We start from the raw sequence: 24,969 nt of genomic DNA, 5'->3' as shown, positions 1-24,969 counted from the left end.
GCAGAAGCCTGAAGACCAAGGAGTGGAAAGTTCTCCGGCAGCCCTGAGATCTCAAGGTCTGTCCATCTGGGGGAGTGGGTGGGGGCACTGAGAAGGGGTGAGATTGGAACTTTTGCTCCCTTTGCCCATTTCTAGACTTTTTCTCCTAATATGTAATAACTTCTCTTCAATAGCCCTTTAAATAAACATCAATAACTTAGCCTGAAGAGTTTTTCACTCCTTAGTTTTGTTACCATACAAACTTCACATCTCAAAACATGTCTCTGTTTAAGAAAATGTGTTAGTGAGTTGAACAGGGAGGTCTTTCCACATGTTAGTAGTTAGGTGTTCAGCTAAAGGGGGAAGAGTGATTATGTGATAGCTTCTTCTTGAACTGAATTGTCTGATGCCCCTGACAGATTCTCTTTGTAAGGAGTTTATTTCAGGGGCAATAAGTAATTGGCATTATTGCTGGTTGGTACTGCAAAGTACCTATGAAAGTCCCCAAAAGTTCTTGCTATTGTTATTTCTGCATTTTGGCAGAACATGATGGAAAATGCACCCTCAAACTTTGGCAAACCGGCACAAAGCTGTGTGTTTAATCACGCCTGCCTTGTCCTAGTGGTTTCTATGAATCTGCTACTTTTCCGTAATATTGCATCATTAATTGTTCCTGAAAAACCCTGAGTTATCCTCTTATAGAATTGTATAAGTAATGATTGCAATATAGATAATTTTGAAAGGAGAAACCACCTTTCCTTGGAAATGTTTATCTTTTGCAGAGTGACATTTGTGAGACCAGCTAATTTGATTAAAATTCTCTTGGAATCAGCTTTGCTAGTATCATACCTGTGCCAGATTTCATCATGGGAAACAGCTGTTACAACATAGTAGCCACTCTGTTGCTGGTCCTCAACTTTGAGAGGACAAGATCATTGCAGGATCCTTGTAGTAACTGCCCAGCTGGTGAGTACCCAGTTATCATGTGCATTTGATCTGCTCTGTTGGAAGTATGGTTCAGTTAGTCTAGTAGTCAGGGCTAACGAGCTCCCTTTTAAGGAAAGGAAAATGAAAATTCATTCATTTACAAATGTTTATTGGATGCTACAACCTAGCTGTGTGAACACAGCAAAGTCATTCAACCTCTTGTGCCTTGACTTTCTCATCTGGGGATAATAAGAGAACCTGTTTTATAGGATGGCTGGGAGGATCAAATGAAGGGCTTAGAACAGTGCATGGCACAAGGCAAGACTTCAATAAATGTTAGTTTTGTGTGTAGGGCTTTGTGCTCCGACTGGGGGCATAGCAGCGAGTAAGCGCGTAGTAAAGGGCTTAACAGAGTGGGGACGGTCAGTCGCATTTAAATTTTAGTGTAGGACATTGATGTCCTCCTGGATCCAGTCATATTCATCTCCTACATCAATCAAGATAATCATTTTGTTTTATTCAATAGATAAAGTATTTTCTTTCTGTTGATTTATTTGTTACAATATCTGGTTTTTTTGTTTTTTTTGTGTGTGTATGTTTTTTTTTTTTTTTTTGAGACACAGTCTCACTCTGTCGCCCAGGCTGGAGTGCAGTGGCACGATCTCAGCTCACTGCAACCTTGGCCTCCCAGGTTCAAGCAATTCTCCTGCCTCAGCCTCCCGAGTAGCTGGGATTACAGGTGTGCACCACTGCGCCTGGCTAATTTTTGTATTTTTAGTAGAGACAGGATTTCACCATGTTGGCCAAGCTGGTCTTGAACTGCTGACCTCAGGTGATCTGCCCGCTTCGGCCTCCCAAAGTGCTGTGATTACAGGCGTGAGCCACTGCACCTGGCCTGTATTTTGTTATTTCTAATTCTGTGATTACACAAAGAATAATCTTGCAAATGTATTGTTTTAGGAAGTCAATCAAACTAATGTCCACCACTGTGGCATCTAGAAAACTCATCATTCTTTTATAATCTTATTTTATTGTAAACTTCGGAATGCCTTGGGTGACGATTGCCCATTGTCAAACGTGTACCACTATTGTCTGCCTTTCTTAGGTACATTCTGTGATAATAACAGGAATCAGATTTGCAGTCCCTGTCCTCCAAATAGTTTCTCCAGCGCAGGTGGACAAAGGACCTGTGACATATGCAGGCAGTGTAAAGGTATGAGTTCAAAGATATTTTCTTCTTCTAGAAGATAGTTGGGAAGATAAGCTTTTCTTTCCCATTTACTAACTGCTCTCTTTTGAAAATCTCAAGTGTCAAAGACTGATTCTTCTGCCAACCAGCAGGTCTAGGACAATAATATCCAGTGACAGCAATTATTTGTGGACTGAGCTTTCTAAATATTAGAGGAAACATTCATTTGACAAGAGAGAAGTTTTTACTTACCTAAATGTAAAAATGTCTTTATGGAGATTTAAAAGTAAACTTTAAAATTACTGGGAACACTATAAGTAGAGTGAGCATGATTTTTACTGCAGAGCATAAATTCGCTTCCTGGATTTGGAGGTCAAGTGTAATAAAATGTTGGGGGCTGGGGGGACTTTGTAGGTGTTTTCAGGACCAGGAAGGAGTGTTCCTCCACCAGCAATGCAGAGTGTGACTGCACTCCAGGGTTTCACTGCCTGGGGGCAGGATGCAGCATGTGTGAACAGGATTGTAAACAAGGTCAAGAACTGACAAAAAAAGGTACGTTTGCGTTTCTTTGATCTAGTGTAGTTTTGTGACATAGACAAACTTAGCTTTGATCTTGATCCTTTGAAAATAAACAAACAGATTTGTAGAACCTTAAAGTAACAAGGGAGTATATGATATATCATATTTTAATTAATAAAATATTTCAATTAATAAAATATTTCCGTTATTTCTTCATAAATGGAAATAATTTGAAATCAGAACATTTGTTAATTGCCAGAACCATTAATCTTCACATGTTCCAGACATATACAATACTTTATGTACAATTAAAATAAAAACTAGCCATCTTAGGGTGTTGTTTCAAGAATTATTGAACAATTTGTGCAGATTGCATTATGGTAATGACTTATATTAAGTTCATCACAGGAAAAGTTACAAAATGATGAAAATGCTTCCCTTTTATTATTGCTTTCATTTTTAATACAAGGTTGTAAAGACTGTTGCTTTGGGACATTTAACGATCAGAAACGTGGCATCTGTCGACCCTGGACAAAGTACGTATAATTTCCTTTAGTTTATGGAATAAAGAATCTGGGTTAAATTTTTTGGAAGATAAGGAATGCTATCATTGAAGCTTTTTTGCACCCATCAAGTGTAGACAGAATGTAACATACTAATAGGCAGCGTGGGAACACTGTGAGGTCGTAGCAACTCAATAGGCAAAGTGGGCATTTTCTCCAGAAATAGTGCCTGGAACATCTAGATCAGAATTGCCAGTGGAGGCTGGGCACGTGCAGTGGTTCACGCCTGTAATCCCAGCACTTTGGGAGGCTGAGACAGGAGGACTCCTTGAGCCCAGGAGTTCAAAACCAGCCTGGGTGAGACCCTGTCTCTACAAAAAATCAAAAAATTAGCCAGGCATAATGGCACATGCCTGTGGTCCCAGCTATAGGGAAGGCTGATGAGGCAGGAGGATCACCTGAGTCTGGGAGGTTGAGGCTGCAATGAGCTATGATCGCACCATCGCACTCCAGAGCAGAGAGCCTGTCTCAAAAGAAAGGAAAAGAATTGCCAGTGGAACTTTGCCGCTGTCTGCCTCTTTTCTGTTTCCTTCTCATTCCTTTGCTGCCTCTTATCTTCTCTCATTGATCAGCCTGTCTCCATGTGTTCAATGCCAGCCCCTAGAATGATACAGAAGAAACTAACAATTGCTCGTTACCCTCCAAAATGTGGCACAGACTTGGGCACACAAGGCCATCACAGGTGGTAAAAAGCCAATAGTATACGAGAGAATGTGACTGTTGTTTTGTGGAACCAGAACTTACACTGTGGTCTGTGGATGGGTGCTGGTCCACAAATGGCTTGTCCTGTGTCCCCATCGACAGTGGTGTAGGGTTAGAGAGTAAACATTTAGAAACTTTTAAGGCAAATTGGCAGAGTAATGTGGTCTGTTGACTAAGAATAAAAATTTGGGCGTTGTATTTTATATGTATTTGTTCTTTTTCCGTTTCATTTTCTTACTAGAAAATCATTTTTATTATTTTACTTTTACATTTTTATTGTATTTCAAAAGTGTATTGGTTTGTAACAGACTGGAAAGTGACTTTTTTGAGAGAAAATAAAGTGTTTTGAAACAGGAATCATGGTATCTCTCTGCTTTTGTCATTTATAATTTATCAGCATCAGAGTGGCTGACGAATGGAATCATGATTCACAAGAAAAGTATTGACTATTTTCTCGGACTTAGCTGAATTCTGTCTTTGGAAAGTGGCTTTTTTAAAAAGGTCTGTTTGTTTGTTTTGTTTGTTTGTTTGTTTGTTTGTTTTGAGATGGAGTTTCGCTCTTCTTGCCCAGGCTGGAGTGCAATGGCACGGTCTCGCCTCACTGCAAACTCTGCCTCCTGGGTTCAAGAGATTCTCCTGCCTCGGCCTCCTAGTAGCTGGGATTACAGGTGCACACAACCACGCCTGGCTAGTGCTTTTGTATTTTTAGTAGAGATGGGCTTTCACCATGTTAGCCAGGCTGGTCTCGCACTCCTGACCTCAAGTGATCCGCTTGCCTTGGCCTCCCAAAGTGCTGGGATTACAGGTGTGAGCCACTGTGCCCAGCTGGAAAGTGGCTTTTTAAAAAAGGTCTTTCAATACAAATTTTTCAGAGTTGTTAAGTGAGTCTGCATGGAAAAATGGGTTTGAACTGGGCTCTGGAGGACGGGCGGATTTGGGGTAGGTAAAGGGACAAGGGAAAGGTGTCACAACAACAGCAACAATGATGGCGATGATGGTGATAATGATAGCTACCATTTACTCAGCGTGTCAGATGTGCAAGAGTGTGTCACTGACTCTCACTCGTTTGTTCTTTGAAACAGTTCTGGCAGCACATACAATCCTAATTTTGCAGATGAGAAAACTGAGGCTTAGGGAGGTTTCTTTTTTCTTTTCTTTCTGAGACAGCGTCAAACTCCTGGGTTCAAGTGATCAGCCTCAAACTCCTGGGTTCAAGTGATCCTCCCACCTCAGTCTCCCGAGTAGCTGGGGCCACAGGCATGCACCATCAGTTAATTTTTGTTTGTCTTTTAATTTTTGTAGAGATGGGGTCTTGCTATGTTGCTCAGGCTGGTCTCCAACGCCTGGTCTCAAGTGATCCTCTGGCCTCAGCCTACCAAAGTGTTGAGATTATAGGCGTGAGCCACCATGCTGGGGTTACAGAGATTTCTTGACTTGCCCAAAGTCATTCTGGAAAGCAGCAGACCCAGGGCTCAAACCCTGGTTTGCCTGATGCTAGTGCTGGACCTCCTAACCCTATGCTAGCCTTCATCTGTGCCGGAGATGGTCAAGTCCGATTAAGAAACTGGGGGTGAGAGACTAAGCAGGCAAGACAGACTGAACTAAGCTGTCACTGAACAGAAGGAAGCCATGGAAAGCTGCAGGGAGCCAGATGGTCAAGTGGAAGTTTTTCAAAATATCTTTGCATCGCTTTCGAACCCAGACCCATATATCTTTTTCACTAGGCTACTTCATTGGGTGAAAAATGACAAAGTTTTAAACCAGAATCTTCTGGACCTAAGTTAATTATTTAAATTATTTTCATTGAACTGTCTAAGCTGTTCTTTGGATGGAAAGTCTGTGCTTGTGAATGGGACGAAGGAGAGGGACGTGGTCTGTGGACCATCTCCAGCCGACCTCTCTCCGGGAGCATCCTCTGTGACCCCGCCTGCCCCTGCGAGAGAGCCAGGTAACTGGGCTATGCCTTTACGCCAAAGTGCGTATCTTATGGTGATTCCAGATTGTATCTAAATTGCCCCAATATCATGATATCTCATATCAGGCACCTCCCACGTGCATTCTTCCTGAATCCTGCCCTCAGGGACCCAGCAGTTTTCTTCCCAGGCATTTGTTATTCAGTCTGAGATACACATTTGTAAGCGGTGCCAGAGGACACTTCACCCAAACAGAGTCTATATCTTTATCAATGCCAAGGAAAGGGGATTATAGGGTCCCATATTTTTTCTTTTCTTTTCTTTTCTTTTTTTTTGTTTTTAAGAGAGTGTCTTGCTCTGTGCCAGGCTGGAGTGCAGTGGTGCAGTCTCAGCTCACTGCAATCTCCACCTCCTGGGTTCAAGTGATTCTCCTGCCTCAGCCTCCCAAGTAGCTGGGATTATAGGCATGCACCACCACGCCCGGCTAATTTTTGTATTTTTAGTAGAGATGAGGTTTCACCATGCTGGCCAGTCTGGTCTTGAACTCCTGACCGCATGATCCGCCCACCTCGGCCTCCCAAAGTGCTGGGATTACAGGTGTGAGCCACCACGCCCGTCCAGGGTCCCATATTTTCTTTTCTTTTTTCTTTCTCTCTCTCGCTTTTTTTTTCCCCCGAGAGTGCCTTGTTCTGTGCCAGGCTGGAGTGCAGTGGCTTGATATTGGCTCACTGCAACCTCCACCTCCTGTGCTCAACCAATCCTCCCACCTCAGCCTCCCCAGTAGCTGGGACTATAGGCACTCACCACTACACCTGGCTAATTTTTTATTTTTTTGGCAGAGTCGGGGTCTTGCTATGTTGCTCAGGCTGCTCTCAAACTCTTGGGCTCAAGCAATCCTCCTGCCTTGGGCTCCCAAAGTGTTGGGATTACAGGCATAAGCCGCCACGCCTGGTCCCCAGGTCCCATATTTTCTATGTGCTAGAAAGGATAAACTGCTCAATTATTAAGTTTCTTTTATTTTTTTGGGGGGGTGGACAGAGTCTCTCTCTGTCACCCAGGCTGGAGTGCAATGGCGCAATCTCGGCTCACTGCAACCTCTACCTCCCAGGTTCAAGCGATTCTCCTGACTCAGCCTCCTGAGTAGCTGGGATTACAGGCGCCCACCACGGCACCCAGCTAATTTTTGTATTTTTAGTAGAGATGGAGTTTCTCCATGTTGGCCAGGCTGGTTTCAAACTCTTGACCTCAGGTGATCTGCCCACCTTGGCCTCCCAAAGTGCTAGGATTACAGGTGTGAGCCACCGCTCCCTGCCATTAAGTTTCTCTTTTTCTTTTCTTTCTTTTCTTTTTTTTGAGATGGAGTCTCACTCTGTTGCCCAGGTTGGAGTGCAGTGGCACCATCTTAGCTCACTGCAACCTCCGCCTCCCGGGTTCAAGCCATTCTCCTGCCTCATCCTGCCAAGTAGCTGGGATTACAAGTTCCTGCCACCACTATGTTGGCCAGGCTGGTCTTGAACTCCTGACTCTAAGTGATCCTCCTGCCTCGGCCTTCCAAAGTGTTGGGATTACAGGCGTGAGCCACCATGTCTGGCCTCTTTAAAAGTTTTCTAAGTTTACTCCATTAGCAGGTTGGAGATGCCCAAGGCTGTGATTCTTCTCATGCTTAGAAATTTACCAATGTAAATATATACATGGGTGTATGAGTGTCAACACATTTCTGCATGCGTTTCTCCTTTTGCTGTGTTTTGCAGGACACTCTCCGCAGATCATCTCCTTCTTTCTTGCGCTGACGTCGACTGCGTTGCTCTTCCTGCTGTTCTTCCTCACGCTCCGTTTCTCTGTTGTTAAACGGGGCAGAAAGAAACTCCTGTATATATTCAAACAACGTAAGATTAACATAATCATATTACAGCTCTGGCAAGGCAAGGCTTTTTATAATAGAAAGGAAAATATGATTTTAAAAAAAATTCTAGAAATGAGGTTCATATAGCCCCGTGGCTATCACGCAGGGGCAATTTCGTCCCTGGGAATATTTGCAGTGTCTGGAGACAGTTGCAGTGTTCACCGCTCGGTGGTGATGGTGGTGATTAGGGGCTATTGCATCTAGTGAGTAGAGGTCAGCAATGCTGCTCAACTCCTACCGTGCACGGGACAGCCTCCCAGCAAAGAATGATGCTGCCCCAAATGTCAATAGTGCTGAGGTGGAGAAAGCTTGCATATAGAAGAGCACACCTCGGTTCTAGAAAAATGACAGATTTAAATATGCTGCAGCCTTGGATTATTGCATGTATGTGTATGTGTGTGTGTGTGTGTATGTGTGTGTGTGCGTGTCTGTGTGTGTGTGCGTGTGTGTGTGCGCGTGCGTGCGTGTGTGTATGTGTGTGTGTGCGTGTGGAGGACACTGGCAAAGAAGAATCAGAAAACCATGTTCCCTCTATGTCCCTCTGGTTGATAAACTGGCTTAAAATGAGTTTAGACCCATATTTGAGGAAGGCAAGGAGAACAAAGAGGGAGCTTGAAGGGGGTTTAACAAATGAATTATTACAGCACCAGTATGGATTACATGAAAAATTTCAATAATGAATTTCATTCATTCACTTGTTCAACAATTATTTCTGTAAGGTACTCAGCAAGTGCCTGGCACTGAGTCAGCATCCACTAGACAAAAGCCATTGATATTTATTTGAAAAAGTATATAGATGGAAGGCAATCTGTTTTTTGTCTTCATGGACATTAGGATGAGACATAACAGGCTTAATAAGACTTAATAAGAGGGATATAATAAAAGGAGCTTTTTGAGAGCAAAATTTTAACCCAAAGCACCATGTAAGACCAGAATGTGCCTATTTGGAGATTGTTAAAAATATATATGCAGGAACAGCATTAGTAAAGTCTTTTTTTTTCTTTTTTGAGACAGAGTTTCACTCTTGTTGCCCAGGCTGGAGTGCAATGGCGTGATCCCGGCTTACCGCAACCTCCTCCTTCCGGGTTCAAGCGATTCTCCTGCCTCAGGCTCCCGAGGCATTACAGGCATGCGCCACCACACCCAGCTAATTTTGCATTTTTAGTAGAGACGGGGTTTCTCCATGTTGGCCAGGCTGGTCTTGAACTCCCAACCTCAGGTGATCCGCCCGCCTCAGCCTCCCAAAGTGTTGGGATTACAGGCGTGAGCCACTGCGCTCAGCCAGTAAAGTCTTATCTAATAAATTATGCTAATGTATTTAAAGGCTCTTTTTAAAGCAATATAGAACTTTTATACATTGTGACCTATACAGAAAAATGCATAAATGTAAAGTTTAACAAATTGTTGTAAACAAACATTCAAATAACTCTACCAGGGTAAAGAAGTGGAACATAACTCATTCCCGAAGCCCTTGGCATGCCCTTTCTAGATCACAGCCCTCTTTGCCCACTACTGCTAACCACATCTAGACTTGTATGGTATTAACTTCCTTTTGCTGTAGTTTTGCTACCTAATAACACAGTTTTATTGGGCTGCTTGTGAACTTCATACAAATAGAATCACACTGTTTTCTGTATCTTGCTTCTTCTTTCAACGTTGTATCATGAAGATTCATCCATGTTGAGTTCATCTTTAGTTGATTTCCACTGTTGCACACTCTTGTTGAATGATGACATCATTGTTCACCTATTCTAGTACTGATGGACAGCGGGATCATTTCCAGCTTGGGGTTATTACATGTAATGACGTTTGAATATTTTTGTCCGTGTATCTCAGCACACGTAAACACGTGTTTCTGGCTTGGTTTTGTTTTTTAACCTAGAAATAACGTTGCTGAGCTACAAGGAACATGTGTATCTTGGTCGTGAATATGCCAAACTGTTTTCCTAAATGATTGGACCCCATTTACACTCCCCTGGCGGTAATGAGTTTCCTGTTACTCCACATCCCCTGATAACTCTTGGTATCATCAGATTATTTTTATCGATATGGTGGGTGGATAGTTGTATCTCATTGTGGTTTTAACTTACACTTCCTGGTTGCTAGTGAGGTTAGACGCCTTTTCATGTTATTTTGGCTATTTGGATTTCCTCTTTAGTGAAGGGCCTGATCAAGTCTTTTGAGTATTTTCTCATAGGATTGTCTGTCCTTTTCTTACTAACGTATAGGAAGTTTTTAGTCTGCTGTTCATGAGCTGCAAATATCTTTTCCTATTCTGTGGTTTGCTCTTTCATTCTTTTTTTGAGGTCTACACCTCCAGTTTAAACCTCTGCGTTCTCACTTAAACCTGATTTCAGTTTTGTCTTTTGTTTTTTTGAGACAGAGTTTCACTGTGTCACCCAGGCTGAAGTGCAATGGTGCGATCACAGCTCACTGTAGCCTCGAACTCCAGAGCTCGAGCAATCCTCCTGCCTCAGCCTACTAAATAGCTGGGACTATAGGTGCATACCACCACACTCAGCTAATTTTTAATTGATTTTTAGTGTTTTTGTAGAGACTGGGATTCACGGTGTTGTCCAGGCCAGTCTTAAACTCCTGGGCTCAAGCGATCCTCCCACCTCGGTTTCCCAAAGTGCTGGACTTAATCCTGATTTAAAGGAGTATCTCTGCAACAAAGTTCCATCCACACCCCAGACTGCAACAAAGTTCGTTATAAAATGCTTTTCAAAAGTATTTATGAGTAATTAGTGAGTTTCAATGGAACTGTAATCCATTTTTTAAAAGTTTTTAGGACACTCCCTGGTAGTCTAGTGGTTAGGATTCCGCGCTCGCCATCACGACCCGGGTTCGATTCCTGGTCAGGGAAGCCTTCCTTCTGGCTGGGCGCTGTGGCTCACGCCTGTAATCCTAGCATTCTGGGGGGCTGAGGCGGGCAGATCACCTGAGGTTAGGAGTTCAACACCAGCCTGGCCATGGTGAAACCCCGTCTCTACTAAAAATACAAAAAATTAGCCAGGCGTGGTGGTGCATGCCTGTAATCCCAGCTACTCAGGAGGCTGAGACAGGAGAATCGCTTGAACCCGGGAGGTGGAGGTTGCAGTGAACTGAGATCGTGCCATTGCACTCCAGCCTGGGCAACAAAAGCGAAACTCCGTCTCAAAAAAAAAAAAAAAAAAAGGTTTTAGGTCGTTCAAAAGAACTTTCAATTTTGACGTAATTATAGATTCACAGGAATTTGCCAAGACAGGAACATCTCTCATGCGGTTTCTGGGTTCCATTCTCCAGTACAATGGCAAAGCAGGAAATTGACATTGGCACAGTGTGCGTGTGTAGTTGTTTGTCCCTTTATCACACATGTGGAGTTGTATAACAACCAGCACAATAAAATCAGAACTATCCATCACCACAGAGATCTCCTTCCACTATTCCTTTCTAGTTAGGTCCTCTACCTCTCCCCACCATCCCCTGGCAACCACTTATCTGTCTTTCATCTCTATACTTTTGTTATTTAAGGAATATGGTATAAATAGAATCATATGGTATGTGTCAAGCTAAATCATAGATAGAGAGAGCCTCTCTAAAAGATTATATTTTTTCAGGAGTAGCATTGCAGTGGGAATACGGTGGGTGTATTCAGGGATGTAAAGGTGATGCGAGTTTTTAAAAGAAAAAATGAGGGGCGGGGCACAGTGGCTCATGCCTATAATCCCAGCGCTTTGGGAGGCTGAGGCGGATGGATCACCTGAGGTCAGGAGTTCGAGACCAGCCTGGCCAACATGGTGAAACCCCATCTCTACTAAAAATACAAAAAGTTAGCCCTGCATGGTGGCACGTGCCTGTAATCCCAGATACTTGGGAGGCTGAGGCACAAGAATTACTTGAACCTGGGAGGCGGAGGTTGCAGTGAGCTGATATCGCATCCTGCACTTCACTCCAGCCTGGGCGACAGAGCAAGACTCTGTCTCAAAAAAAAAAAAAAAAAAAAAGGAAAAAGAAAAAAAAGAAAAACTGAGGAGGGTTATGTAAGTTATTTTGAAACAATTATCCTTTGCTACAAAGATCAATACCGGCAGAAGTATTTTTTTGTTAAGATACAGTAGCCTTGGTGCAAGGTTGTGGTTTCTGCCATCTTTTGTGATAGTTGTTTTTATCAGGCATGCATGCATAAGAAACCCCCTTCACGGCCTTCCCTGGCTCCATTTGTCAGGGTTTTTGTTTGTTTGTTTGTTTTTTGGTTTTTTGTTGTTATTGTTGTTGTTTGTTTTTGAGACAGGATCTCCCTGTGTCATTCAGGCTGGAGTGCAGTGGCGTGATCTCCACTCGCTGCAACCTCCGCCTCCTGGGTTCCAGCGATTTTCGTGCCTCAGCCTCCTGAGTAGCTGGGATTACAGGCAGCTGCCACCATGCCCGGCTATAGTAGAGACGGGGTTTTGCCACGTTGGCCAGGCTGGTCTTGAACTCCTGGCCTCATGTGATCTGCCTGCCTCAGTCTCCCAAAGTGCTGGGATTACAGGCATGAGCCACCATGCCCGGCCCATTTGTCAGGGTTTTGACACAAGTTACTCCATTTTGATTCTGACAACTTTCACAAACGTGAACTTTTTTTAAGATTTTGCTTTTTCACTCAGCACAATGCCCTTGATATCCATCCAAGTTGCTGTGTGTTTCAATGGTTAATTCTTTTTCCTTGCTGAATAGTATTCCACGATATGCTTGTGCCACAGTTTGTTTTACCATGCACCCATTAAAAGATATTTTGTTTGCTTCCTGTTTTGACTATTACATATAAAGCTGCGAGGAATAATTATGTACAGGTTTTGTGTGGACATGTATTTTTGTATCTCTATGATAAATGCTCAGGAGTGCAATTGCTGGGCTATATGTTTGGTGCTTGTTTAGTTTTTAAGAAGTTGTCGAACTATTTTCCAGAGGAAGTGTATCATTTTACATTCTCATCGGAGTTTCTCTGCATCCTTGCTTGCATTTTGCATTGCCACAATTTTTATTTCAGCTGTTCTAATAGGTATGTAGTGACATCTCATTGGGGCTTTAATTTGCACTTCCCTTATGGGTGGACATCTTTTCATGTGCTTATTTTCCATCTTTATATCTTCTTCAGTGAAGTGTTGTTCAGGTCTTTCACCTATTTTCTAGTTGGATTATTTGTTTGTTTTACTGTTGAGATTCAAGAGTTCTTCGTATTTCCCAGATAGGAGTCCTTTGGCATATATATGGTTTATAAATATTTTCTCCCAGTCAGTAGCTTGCCTTTTCATCCTCTTCTCAGGCTCTTCCACAGAGAAAAGCTATTTAATTTTGCTGAAGTCCAGTTTATGGATTTTTTCATTTATGGAGTCATGTCTAAGAATTCTTCACTGAGTCCTGGGTCTCAAAGATTTAGGGTTTTTTTTTTTCCTCTATCTCTTATAACTTTTACAGTTTTCTATTTCATATTTAAATCTTGATTTTTTTTTTCTGAGACAGGGTCTCTGCTTTGTCACCCAGGCTGGAGTGCAGTGGTGTGATCATGGCTTACTGCAGCCTCCACCTCCTGGGCTCAAGTGATCCTCCCTCCTTGGCCTCCCAAGTAGCTGGGACTACAGGAGTGTGCCAGCACTTGCTGTGGACCTATTGGACTGAACAAAGGGGGGCAAAAGCGGGAATAAAAGACGAGACAAAAGAGTATATTTGGAAGAAGGGGTCAGGGGGCACCTTGCCTCTAGTGGACAAGGGCCCTGAGCTTTACACAGCCCTCCGTATTTATTAGGCAAAAGAGATAGTGAGAAAGCGGGGATGATTGTCGGGTAATTGTCAGTTAGCCGTTTGGTGTTTGGTTCACAGCAGGCTTGTGAGACTGCATCCTTTGAACAATAGGTGCTAGATTTCTCAATAGATAACTTCAAGGAGCCAGGGAGTAGCGTCCCTCAGCAAACTTTTTGGTGGCAGGGCAGTGTGAGTTTGCTCACATCTTGCATTCGTGATGAACACTTTGCTGTTTGATCATATAGCCTCCAGTGGAATGTTGAGTTGGTCACGTCTCACGGGCTTTGGCTCTCTGCATGCCTGGGTAATTTTTTTTTTTATTTTGAGACAGAGTCTCACCATGTTGCTCAGGCTGGTCTTGAACTCCTGGCCTTAAACAATCCTCCTGCCTTGGCCTCCCAAAGTGCTGGGATTACAGGTGTGAGCCACTGTGCCCATGCTTGATTCGTTTTAAATTTTTCGTATAAGGTGTGAGAGGTTTTAGCCAAGTTTTTTGTTGTTGTTTTTGTTGTTGGACTATGGACGTCCAATTGCTCTAGCACCACTAGTGGAAAACATTAGTCATCCTTCATTGTACCTTTGTCAAAGTCAGTTGGCTGCAATTACGTGGGGCTATCTGGTTTCCCTCTTCTGTTCCATTGATCCATGTGTTTCTTCTTCTGCCAATACCACACAGCCTTGATTACTGTAGTTATACATAAATACTGAAATTGGGTAGAGGGTGGTAGTCTCTCCCACTTTATTATTTCATTTCAAAATTGTTTTATCTATTCTAGTTCCTTTGCATTTCCACATACATTTTAGGATAATATCTATATCTACAAAAAGCCGGCTGGGATTCTGATAACAATTGTGTTAAATCTGCATATCAGTTTCGGGCAAATTGACATCTTTACTATGTGAAGTACAGTCACATATCACTTAATGACAGGGGTAGTTCTGAGAAATGTGTTGTTAAGTGATTTCGTTGTTGTGTGAACATCATAGAGGGCACTTATGCAAACCTAGATGGTACAGCCTACTATACACCTAGGCTGGATGGTATAGCCTATCCCTCCTATACTACAAACCTGTCAGGCATGTGACTGTACCGAATACCATAGGCAACTGTAACATAATGGTATTTGTGTAGCTAAACATATCTAAACATAGAAGAGGTACCGTGAAAATAATATGATCTTTGCCAGGCGCAGTGGCTCATGTCTGTAATCCCAACACTTTGGGAGACCAAGGTGGGCAGATCACCTGAGGTCAGGAGTTCGAGACTAGCCTGGCCAACATGGTGAAACCCTGTTTCTACTAAAAATACAAAAATTAGCCGGGTGTGGTGGCGCATGCCTGTAATTCCAGCCACTTGGGAGGCTGAGGTGGGAGAATCCCTTGAACCTGACAGGCAGAGGTTGCAGTGAGCCGAGATCGCATCACTGCACTCCTGGCTGGGCAACAGAGTGAGACGCCATTAGAAACCAGGCCACCCAGCAGGAGGAGAGTGGTGGGCAAGCACGTGAAGCTTCCTCTGTATTTATAGCCCCTCCCCATGACTTGCATTACCGCCTTATCTCCATCTCCCATCAGATCAGCAGCGGCATTAGATTCTCATAGGAGCATGAATCCTATTGTGAACTGCGCATACGAGGGATCGAGGTTGCACGCTCCTTATGAGAATCCAGTACCTGATGATCTGTCACTGTTCCCCATCACCCCCAGATGGGACTGTCTAGTTGTAGGAAAACAAGCTCAGGGCTCCCACTGATTCTACATTACAGGGAGTTGTATAATTATTTCATTATATATTACAAAGTAATAATAATAGAAATAAAGTGCACAATAAATGTAATGTGCTTGAATCATCCTGAAACCATCCCCCCACCCACCCAGTCCGTGGAAAAATTGTCTTCCACAAAACTGGTCCCTCTTGCCAAAAAGGTTGGGGACCTCTGCTGTATATCACTGTAGTCTTATAAACACTGTACACTTAAGCTAACCTAAATTTATTTAAAATGTTCTCTTTCTTCAATAATAAATTAACCTTAGCTTACTGTGACTTTTTACTTCATAAACTTTAATTTTTTTTTTTTTGAGGCAGGGTCTTGCTGCCCAGGCTGGAATGCAGTGGCGAGATCTTGGCTCACTGCAGCCTGCACCTCCCAGGTTCAAGTGATTCTCCTGCCTCAGCCCCCCAAGTAGCTGGGACTACAGGCAGCTGCCACCACGCCTGGCTAATTTTTGTATTAGAGATGGGGTTTCACCATGTTGGCTAGGCTGGTCTCGAACTCCTGAGCTCCGGTAATCTGCCCACCTCGGCCTCCCAAAGTGCTGGGATTACAGGCATGAGCCACCGCACCCAGCCTATAAACTTAAAAAAAATTTTTTTTAACTTTTTGACTCTTTTGTAATAACTCTTAGCTTAAAACACAAGCACATTGTACAGCTGTACAAAAATATTTTCTCTTTATTTCCTTATTCTATAAGCTTTTATCTATTTAAAAGTTTTTAAATTGCTTTTTACTTTTTAAACTTTTTTTGTGAAAAACTAAGACACGAACACACTTATTAGCCTAGACCCACACAGAGTTGGTGTCTGCCACCTCCACATCTTGTCCCACTGGAAGATCTTTGGGGCAAAAACATGCATGTAGCTGTCATCTCCTATGAGAACAATGTCTTCTTCTGGAATACCTCCCAAAGGACCTGCCTGAGGCTGTTTTACAATTAACTGGTTTTTGTTTGTTTGTTTGTTTGTTTGTTTTTTGTTTGAGAGGAGTCTTGCTCTGTTGCCCAGGCTGGAGTGCAATGGGGCGGTCTCGGCTCCCTGCAACCTCTGCCTCCCGGGTTCAAGGGATTCTCCTGTCTCAGCCTCCCGAGTAGCTGGGATTACAGGTGCATGCCGCCATGCCTGGCTAATTTTTTGTACTTTAGTAGAGACAGGGTTTCACCAAATTGCCCAGGCTAGTCTCAAACTCCTGAGCTCAGGCAATCCACCTGCCTTGGCCTCCCAAAGTGCTGGGATTACAGGTGTGAGCCACAACACCCGGCCTTAACTGGTTATATATATATATATATATATATATATATATATATATATATGGAATATACTATGAAATAACTATAAAAAGTATGGTATAGTAAGTCCATAAACTACTAACATAGTCATTTATTGTCATTGTCAAGGATTATGTGCTGTACATAATTGCATATGCTACACTTTACACAACTGGCAGCTCAGTAGGTTTTTTACATCAGTATCACCACAAACGTGAGCAATGAGCTGTGCTGCAATGTTATGATGGTTGGACATCACGAGGCAATAGGAACTTTTCAGCTCCACTATAATCTTATGGGACCACGATCATATATGCAGTCTGTTTTTGACCAAAACGTTGTTGTACGCTGTATGACTGTATTCTAATGCAGGAACATAGTATGTCTCTTCATTTATACATTTTAAAATTTATTTCACCAGCATTTTGTAGTTTTCACTATACAAGTTCTGTATGTGTTTTGTTAGATTTAGGCCTAAGTAAAAAAAAAATTTTTTAGAAGTCAGGGTCTTGCTTGCTCTATTACCCAGGCGGGAGTGCAGTGGCATGATCACGCCTCAATGCAGCCTCAACTTCCTGGGCTCAAGTGATCCTCCCACCTCAGCCTCCAGAGTAGCTGAGACTACAGTCATGTGCCACCACCCCTGGCTAATTTTTAAATGTTTTGTAGAGACAGGGTCTTGCTCTGTTACCCAAGCTGGTCTAGAACTCCTGGACTCAAGCGATCCTCCTGCCTTGGCCCCCATAGTATTGGGATTACAGGCGTGAGCCCCCACACCCAGTTTCTGGATCTAATTTAGATCTTGTATTTTCTCAGGGTTCCTCTGACATCACTCTAGGGAAGGAAGGAGGATGGGCAGCTCGTTACGGCCAGGCAGGGGTGGAGGAAGTTTGGGTTCTATGCTATACCTCCTGGAGGGTGAGGGTCTCCTTTTTACTGCTAGACACGTGGGAGTTCTAGCTCCCACTAGGCCTCCTCTGACACTACCCCAGGAGGGAGGGGGAGATGAGCCTTAATCAGCCGTGAGGGTGGAAGTCCAGGCTCTCTACTCAGTCCTTCCTGGTGGGCTTGCAGGCGGAGCCACGGTGTTTTTTGTGGTGTTTTGTTAGAATTGAGTGGTTATTGTCTAGAAGTTTTTGGACCAGGTGTGGTGGCTCACGCCTGTAATCCCAGCACTTTGGGAGGCCCAGATGGGCGGATCATAAGGTCAGGAGTTTGAGACCAGCCTGGCCAATATGGTGAAACCCCATCTCTACTAAAAACACAAAAATTAGCCGGGCCTGGTGGCGGGCACCTGTAGTCCCAGCTACTCAGGAGACTGAGGCAAGAGAACCGCTTGAACCCAAGAGGCGGAGGTTGCAGTGAGCTGAGATCACGCCATTGCACTCCAGCCTGGGCAACAGAGTGAGACTCCATCTCAAAAAAAAAAAAGAAAAAAAAAAGAAGTTTGTAGTCTTGCTATGCTGCCCCTTTCCTGGTCTCATAACTAGAGAGTACAAGCTCCTCTTAGTTTTTTATGTGTTTTTTTGAGATGGAGTCTTGCTCTGTTGCCCAGGCTGGAGTGCAGTGGTGTAATCTCAGCTCTCTGCAACCTCTGCCTCCTGGGTTTAAGCCATTGTCCTGCCTCAGACTCCCGAATAGCTAAGATTACAGGTGAGCGCCACCATGCCCAGCTAATTTTTGTGTTTTTAGTAGAGACAGGGTTTCGCCATGTTGGCCAGGCTGGTCTCGAAATCCTGACCTCAGATGATCTGCTTGCTTTGGCTTCCCAAAGTGCTGGGATTACAGATGTGAGTCACCACGCCTGGCCTCTTCTTGGTTTTTGCTTTGTTTTGTCCACGCTATTGGCATTTTTAGAGTGCTGCTTCTCTAGTTCCCAGTCAGAGGGAAATGAGGCAGAAAGAAACCCATTGCCATGTTGTTTCTTGGGTCTGGAGATCCTGACCCAATTGGCCTTCCTCTCTCTGCCTTTCTGAGAGGTTTTCAGCAGTACTCAGCAGGACAAATACGGAAAACATGACATCTCAATCTTTCCAGAAGAGATCTCCATTTTGAAATTCAACCTGGGAACAATTTCAAAAGACATCCCGTTGGTATTTCTGAACATCTTGCCAGTTTTTCATAAGTTCTAGGAGATGGTGTGGTTATTTTTTATAGCAACAAGCATATGAAATCGGGGTAGGACTTTTTGCCTTGCCAGTCTGTAAATAAATATCTGCTTAGGATTGAAATTTGCGGAGCAGTAACACAAATACTTCACTAACATGTAAAAGAAAGCCTGGCAGCTCACGCACAGATCGGTTCTTGGTTCCTAACAGATGGAAGCAGTGGGGATACCTTCACAATCCTGGAGTCATAACACTGCATTCCAAGGAAACCATCGGATCTCGAATCTCAGTAACCCTCAAGACGAAAATAAGTGCTGCTGAATTGAAACTAGAGCTATGATTGGGATATGGCTAATATTTTATGGTTTAGTGATTCATGCTTAAGATTCATGCTTTTTTAGCTAATGTAGAAAATAAAGAAAATAGTTCTTAAAGACCAATACAAATATTTGGTAAGAGGAAACAAATTTCAAATAATCTCTAGAGGAAGTTCATCCTTGCTGTTACCTCTCTTGTGGATGAGTTTGTTAAAATTATTATTACTATTATTATTATAATTTTTTTTAGATGGAGTCTCACTCTGTCACCCAGGCTGGAGTGCAGTGGCGCAATCTCAGCTCACTGCAACCTCCACCTCCCAGGTTCAGGCGATTCTCTGCCTCAGCCTCCCGAGTAGCTGGGATTACAGGCGCCCACCACCACGCCCAGCTAATTTTTTTGGTATTTTTAGTAGAGACGGGGTTTCACCATCTTGGCCAGGCTGGTCTTGAACTCCTGACCTTGTGATCCACCGGCCTCAGCCTCCCAAAGTGCTGGGATTACAGGCATGAGCCACTGCGCCCGGCCTGTTTTTGTTTTGTTTTGTTTTGTTTTGTTTTGTTTTGTTTTGTTTTTTGAGACAGAGTTTCGCTGTTGTCACCCAGGCTGGAGTGCAATGGCGCCATCTCAAGTCACTGCAATCTCTGTCTCCTGGGTTCAAGCAATTGTCCTGCCTCAGCCTCCTGAGTAGCTGGGATTACAGGCACCTGCCACCACGCCCGGCTAATTTTTGTATTTTTAGTAGGGATGGGGTTTTGCTATGTTGGCCACGCTGGTCTTGAACTCCTGACCTCAAGTGATCTGCCCACCTCGGCCTTCCAAAGTGCTGGGGTTACAGGCATGAGCCACCACGCCTGGCTGAGTTTGTTAAAATTAAAGGGGAGAATGTTTGCTGCTTAGAGATGTTCTGCAGCTATAATTTATGGAAAATAAGTGTTAAATGATTCAAATAGACAACAAAATATACGTATCTTAAAATTTTTTTTTTAGCATTTATGAGACCAGTACAAACTACTCAAGAGGAAGATGGCTGTAGCTGCCGATTTCCAGAAGAAGAAGAAGGAGGATGTGAACTGTGAAATGGAAGTCAATAGGGCTGTTGGGACTTTCTTGAAAAGAAGCAAGGAAATATGAGTCATCCGCTATCACAGCTTTCAAAAGCAAGAACACCATCCTACATAATACCCAGGATTCCCCCAACACACGTTCTTTTCTAAATGCCAATGAGTTGGCCTTTAAAAATGCACCACTTTTTTTTTTTTTTTGACAGGGTCTCACTCTGTCACCCAGGCTGGAGTGCAGTGGCACCACCATGGCTCTCTGCAGCCTTGACCTCTGGGAGCTCAAGTGATCCTCCTGCCTCAGTCTCCTGAGTAGCTGGAACTACAAGGAAGGGCCACCACACCTGACTAACTTTTTTGTTTTTTGTTTGGTAAAGATGGCATTTCACCATGTTGTACAGGCTGGTCTCAAACTCCTAGGTTCACTTTGGCCTCCCAAAGTGCTGGGATTACAGACATGAACTGCCAGGCCCGGCCAAAATAATGCACCACTTTTAACAGAACAGACAGATGAGGACAGAGCTGGTGATAAAAAAAAAAAAAAAAAAGCATTTTCTAGATACCACTTAACAGGTTTGAGCTAGTTTTTTTGAAATCCAAAGAAAATTATAGTTTAAATTCAATTACATAGTCCAGTGGTCCAACTATAATTATAATCAAAATCAATGCAGGTTTGTTTTTTGGTGCTAATATGACATATGACAATAAGCCACGAGGTGCAGTAAGTACCCGACTAAAGTTTCCGTGGGTTCTGTCATGTAACACGACATGCTCCACCGTCAGGGGGGAGTATGAGCAGAGTGCCTGAGTTTAGGGTCAAGGACAAAAAACCTCAGGCCTGGAGGAAGTTTTGGAAAGAGTTCAAGTGTCTGTATATCCTATGGTCTTCTCCATCCTCACACCTTCTGCCTTTGTCCTGCTCCCTTTTAAGCCAGGTTACATTCTAAAAATTCTTAACTTTTAACATAATATTTTATACCAAAGCCAATAAATGAACTGCATATGATAGGTATGAAGTACAGTGAGAAAATTAACACCTGTGAGCTCATTGTCCTACCACAGCACTAGAGTGGGGGCCGCCAAACTCCCATGGCCAAACCTGGTGCACCATTTGCCTTTGTTTGTCTGTTGGTTTGCTTGAGACAGTCTTGCTCTGTTGCCCAGGCTGGAATGGAGTGGCTATTCACAGGCACAATCATAGCACACTTTAGCCTTAAACTCCTGGGCTCAAGTGATCCACCCGCCTCAGTCTCCCAAGTAGCTGGGATTACAGGTGCAAACCTGGCATGCCTGCCATTGTTTGGCTTATGATCTAAGGATAGCTTTTTAAATTTTATTCATTTTATTTTTTTTTGAGACAGTGTCTCACTCTGTCTCCCAGGCTGGAGTACAGTGGTACAATCTTGGATCACCGCCTCCCAGTTTCAAGTGATCTCCCTGCCTCAGCCTCCTAAGTAGCTGGGACTACAGGTATGTGCCACCACGCCTGGCTAATTTTTATATTTTTAGTAGAGACGGGGTTTCACCATGTTGTCCAGGCTGGTCTCAAACTCCTGACCTCAGGTGATCTGCCCACCTCTGCCTCCCAAAGTGCTGGGATTACAGGCATGAGCCACCATGCCTGGCCATTTCTTACACTTTTGTATGACATGCCTATTGCAAGCTTGCGTGCCTCTGTCCCATGTTATTTTACTCTGGGATTTAGGTGGAGGGAGCAGCTTCTATTTGGAACATTGGCCATCGCATGGCAAATGGGTATCTGTCACTTCTGCTCCTATTTAGTTGGTTCTACTATAACCTTTAGAGCAAATCCTGCAGCCAAGCCAGGCATCAATAGGGCAGAAAAGTATATTCTGTAAATAGGGGTGAGGAGAAGATATTTCTGAACAATAGTCTACTGCAGTACCAAATTGCTTTTCAAAGTGGCTGTTCTAATGTACTCCCGTCAGTCATATAAGTGTCATGTAAGTATCCCATTGATCCACATCCTTGCTACCCTCTGGTACTATCAGGTGCCCTTAATTTTGCCAAGCCAGTGGGTATAGAATGAGATCTCACTGTGGTCTTAGTTTGCATTTGCTTGGTTACTGATGAGCACCTTGTCAAATATTTATATACCATTTGTGTTTATTTTTTTAAATAAAATGCTTGCTCATGCTTTTTTGCCCATTTGCAAAAAAACTTGGGGCCGGGTGCAGTGGCTCATGCCTGTAGTCCCAGCTCTTTGGGAGGCCAAGGTGGGCAGATCGCTTGAGCCCAGGAGTTCGAGACCAGCCTTGGCAACATGGCGAAACCCTGTCTTTACAAAAAATACAAAAATTAGCCGGGTGTGGTGGTGTGCACCTGAAGTCCCAGCTACTCAGTAGGTTCGCTTTGAGCCTGGGAGGCAGAGGTTGCAGTGAGCTGGGACCGCATCACTACACTTCAGCCTGGGCAACAGAGAAAAACCTTTTCTCAGAAACAAACAAACCCAAATGTGGTTGTTTGTCCTGATTCCTAAAAGGTCTTTATGTATTCTAGATAATAATCTTTGGTCAGTTATATGTGTTAAAAAATATCTTCTTTGTGGCCAGGCACGGTAGCTCACACCTGTAATCCCAGCACTTTGCGGGGCTGAGGTGGGTGGATCATCTGAGGTCAAGAGTTCAAGATCAGCCTGGCCAACACAGTGAAACCCCATCTCTACTAAACATGTACAAAACTTAGCTGGGTATGGTGGCGGGTGCCTGTAACCCCAGCTGCTCCAGAGGCTGTGGCAGAAGAATCGCTTGAACCCAGGAGGCAGAGGTTGCAGCGAGCCAAGATTGTGCCATTGCACTCCAGACTGGGTGACAAGAGTGAAATTCTGCCTATCTATCTATCTATCTATCTATATCTATATATATATATATATATATCCTTTGTAATTTATTTTTCCCTTTTTAAAATTTTTTATAAAATTCTTTTTTATTTTTATTTTTAGCAGAGGTGAGGTTTCTGAGGTTTCATTATGTTGCCCAGGCTGGTCTTGAACTCCTGAGCTCAAGTGATCCTCCCACCTCAGCCTTCCAAAGTGCTGGAATTGCAGACATGAGCCACCGCGCCCCTCCTGTTTTTCTCTAATTAATGGTGTCTTTCTTTGTCTTTCTGGTAATAAGCAAAAAGTTCTTCATTTGATTTGGTTAAATTTATAACTGTTTTCTCATATGGTTAACATTTTTTCTTGCCTGGCTAAAGAAATCCTTTTCTGCCCAATACTATAAAGAGGTTTGCCCACATTTTATTCCAAAAGTTTTAAGTTTTGTCTTTCATCTTGAAGTCTAATGTATCAGGAACTGGCTTTTGTGCCTGTTGGGAGGTAGTGATCCAATTCCATGTCTTGCATGTAGGTAACCACTGGTCCCTGCGCCATGTATTCAATACGTCGTCTTTCTCCTGCGGGTCTGCAATCTCACCTACCATCCATCAAGTTTCCATAGGGCCATGGGTCTGCTTCTGGGCTCCCTGTTCTGTTCCATTGTCAATTTGTCTATCCTGTGCCAGTATCACACTGTGTTTATTACAATAGCTTTGTAACAGCTCTCGATATCCGGTAGGACATCTCCCTCCACCTTCTTTTTCTACTTCAGAAGTGTCTTAGCTAGGTCAGGCACGGTGGCTCACGCCTGTAATCCCAGCACTTTGGGAGGCCGACGCGGATGGATCACCTGAGGTCAGGAGTTTTGAGACAGCCTGGCCAACATGGTGAAACCCCATCTCTACTAAAAAATACAAAAATTAGTCAGGCATGGTGGCATGTGCCTGTAATCCCAGCTATTTGGGAGGCTGAGGCCGGAGAATTGCTTGAACCCGGGGGGCGGAGGTTGCAGTGAGCCGAGATCGTACCATTGCACTCCAGCCTGGGTGACAGAGCGAAACTCTGTCTCAGGAAAAAAAAGAAAAGAGATGTCTTGGTTATTCTTGGTTCTTTATTATTCAATATAAATTTTAGAAGCTGAATTTGAAAAGATTTGGATTGGAATTTCATTAAATCTACAGGTCAATTTAGGGAGAGTTGATAATTTTACAGAATTGAGTCATCTGGTGTTCCAATAAGAATAAGAGAACAATTATTGGCTGTACAATTCTTGCCAAATAGTAGGCAAAGCAAAGCTTAGGAAGTATACTGGTGCCATTTCAGGAACAAAGCTAGGTGCGAATATTTTTGTCTTTCTGAATCATGATGCTGTAAGTTCTAAAGTGATTTCTCCTCTTGGCTTTGGACACATGGTGTTTAATTACCTACTGCTGACTATCCACAAACAGAAAGAGACTGGTCATGCCCCACAGGGTTGGGGTATCCAAGATAATGGAGCGAGGCTCTCATGTGTCCTAGGTTACACACCGAAAATCCACAGTTTATTCTGTGAAGAAAGGAGGCTATGTTTATGATACAGACTGTGATATTTTTATCATAGCCTATTCTGGTATCATGTGCAAAAGCTATAAATGAAAAACACAGGAACTTGGCATGTGAGTCATTGCTCCCCCTAAATGACAATTAATAAGGAAGGAACATTGAGACAGAATAAAATGATCCCCTTCTGGGTTTAATTTAGAAAGTTCCATAATTAGGTTTAATAGAAATAAATGTAAATTTCTATGATTAAAAATAAATTAGCACATTTAGGGATACACAAATTATAAATCATTTTCTAAATGCTAAAAACAAGCTCAGGTTTTTTTCAGAAGAAAGTTTTAATTTTTTTTCTTTAGTGGAAGATATCACTCTGACGGAAAGTTTTGATGTGAGGGGCGGATGACTATAAAGTGGGCATCTTCCCCCACAGGAAGATGTTTCCATCTGTGGGTGAGAGGTGCCCACCGCAGCTAGGGCAGGTTACATGTGCCCTGTGTGTGGTAGGACTTGGAGAGTGATCTTTATCAACGTTTTTATTTAAAAGACTATCTAATAAAACACAAAACTATGATGTTCACAGGAAAAAAAGAATAAGAAAAAAAGA

The 24,969-nt window shown here is 43.2% G+C and overlaps 1 protein-coding gene and 1 pseudogene across 3 annotated transcripts; both read left to right on the top strand.

Moving 5' to 3' along the window:
- Window positions 1-24,969, top strand: TNFRSF9 (TNF receptor superfamily member 9). 3 transcript variants are annotated; one of them, NM_001561.6, is made up of 8 exons: window positions 1-56; window positions 762-945; window positions 2,012-2,119; window positions 2,510-2,647; window positions 3,084-3,150; window positions 5,697-5,827; window positions 7,544-7,678; window positions 19,917-24,969. In NM_001561.6, the coding sequence occupies exons 2-8, from the start codon at window positions 846-848 to the stop codon at window positions 20,003-20,005; spliced, it is 768 nt and encodes a 255-aa protein (NP_001552.2). In that variant the 5' UTR covers window positions 1-56; window positions 762-845; the 3' UTR covers window positions 20,006-24,969. The 3 variants fall into 3 exon arrangements, with proteins under 3 accessions (NP_001552.2, XP_006710681.1, XP_047275628.1); XM_006710618.4 differs by lacking the exon at window positions 19,917-24,969 and adding an exon at window positions 18,819-19,048; XM_047419672.1 differs by lacking the exon at window positions 19,917-24,969 and adding an exon at window positions 8,710-9,331.
- TRUND-NNN4-1 (tRNA-undetermined (NNN) 4-1) lies at window positions 10,492-10,561 on the top strand (annotated as a pseudogene).

This window comes from Homo sapiens, chromosome 1 (assembly GCF_000001405.40).
Source record: "Homo sapiens chromosome 1, GRCh38.p14 Primary Assembly".
Classification (NCBI taxonomy): domain Eukaryota; kingdom Metazoa; phylum Chordata; class Mammalia; order Primates; family Hominidae; genus Homo; species Homo sapiens.
The sequence above is the reverse complement of the archived record's forward strand: the minus strand, read 5'-3'. Positions and strand labels throughout refer to the sequence as shown.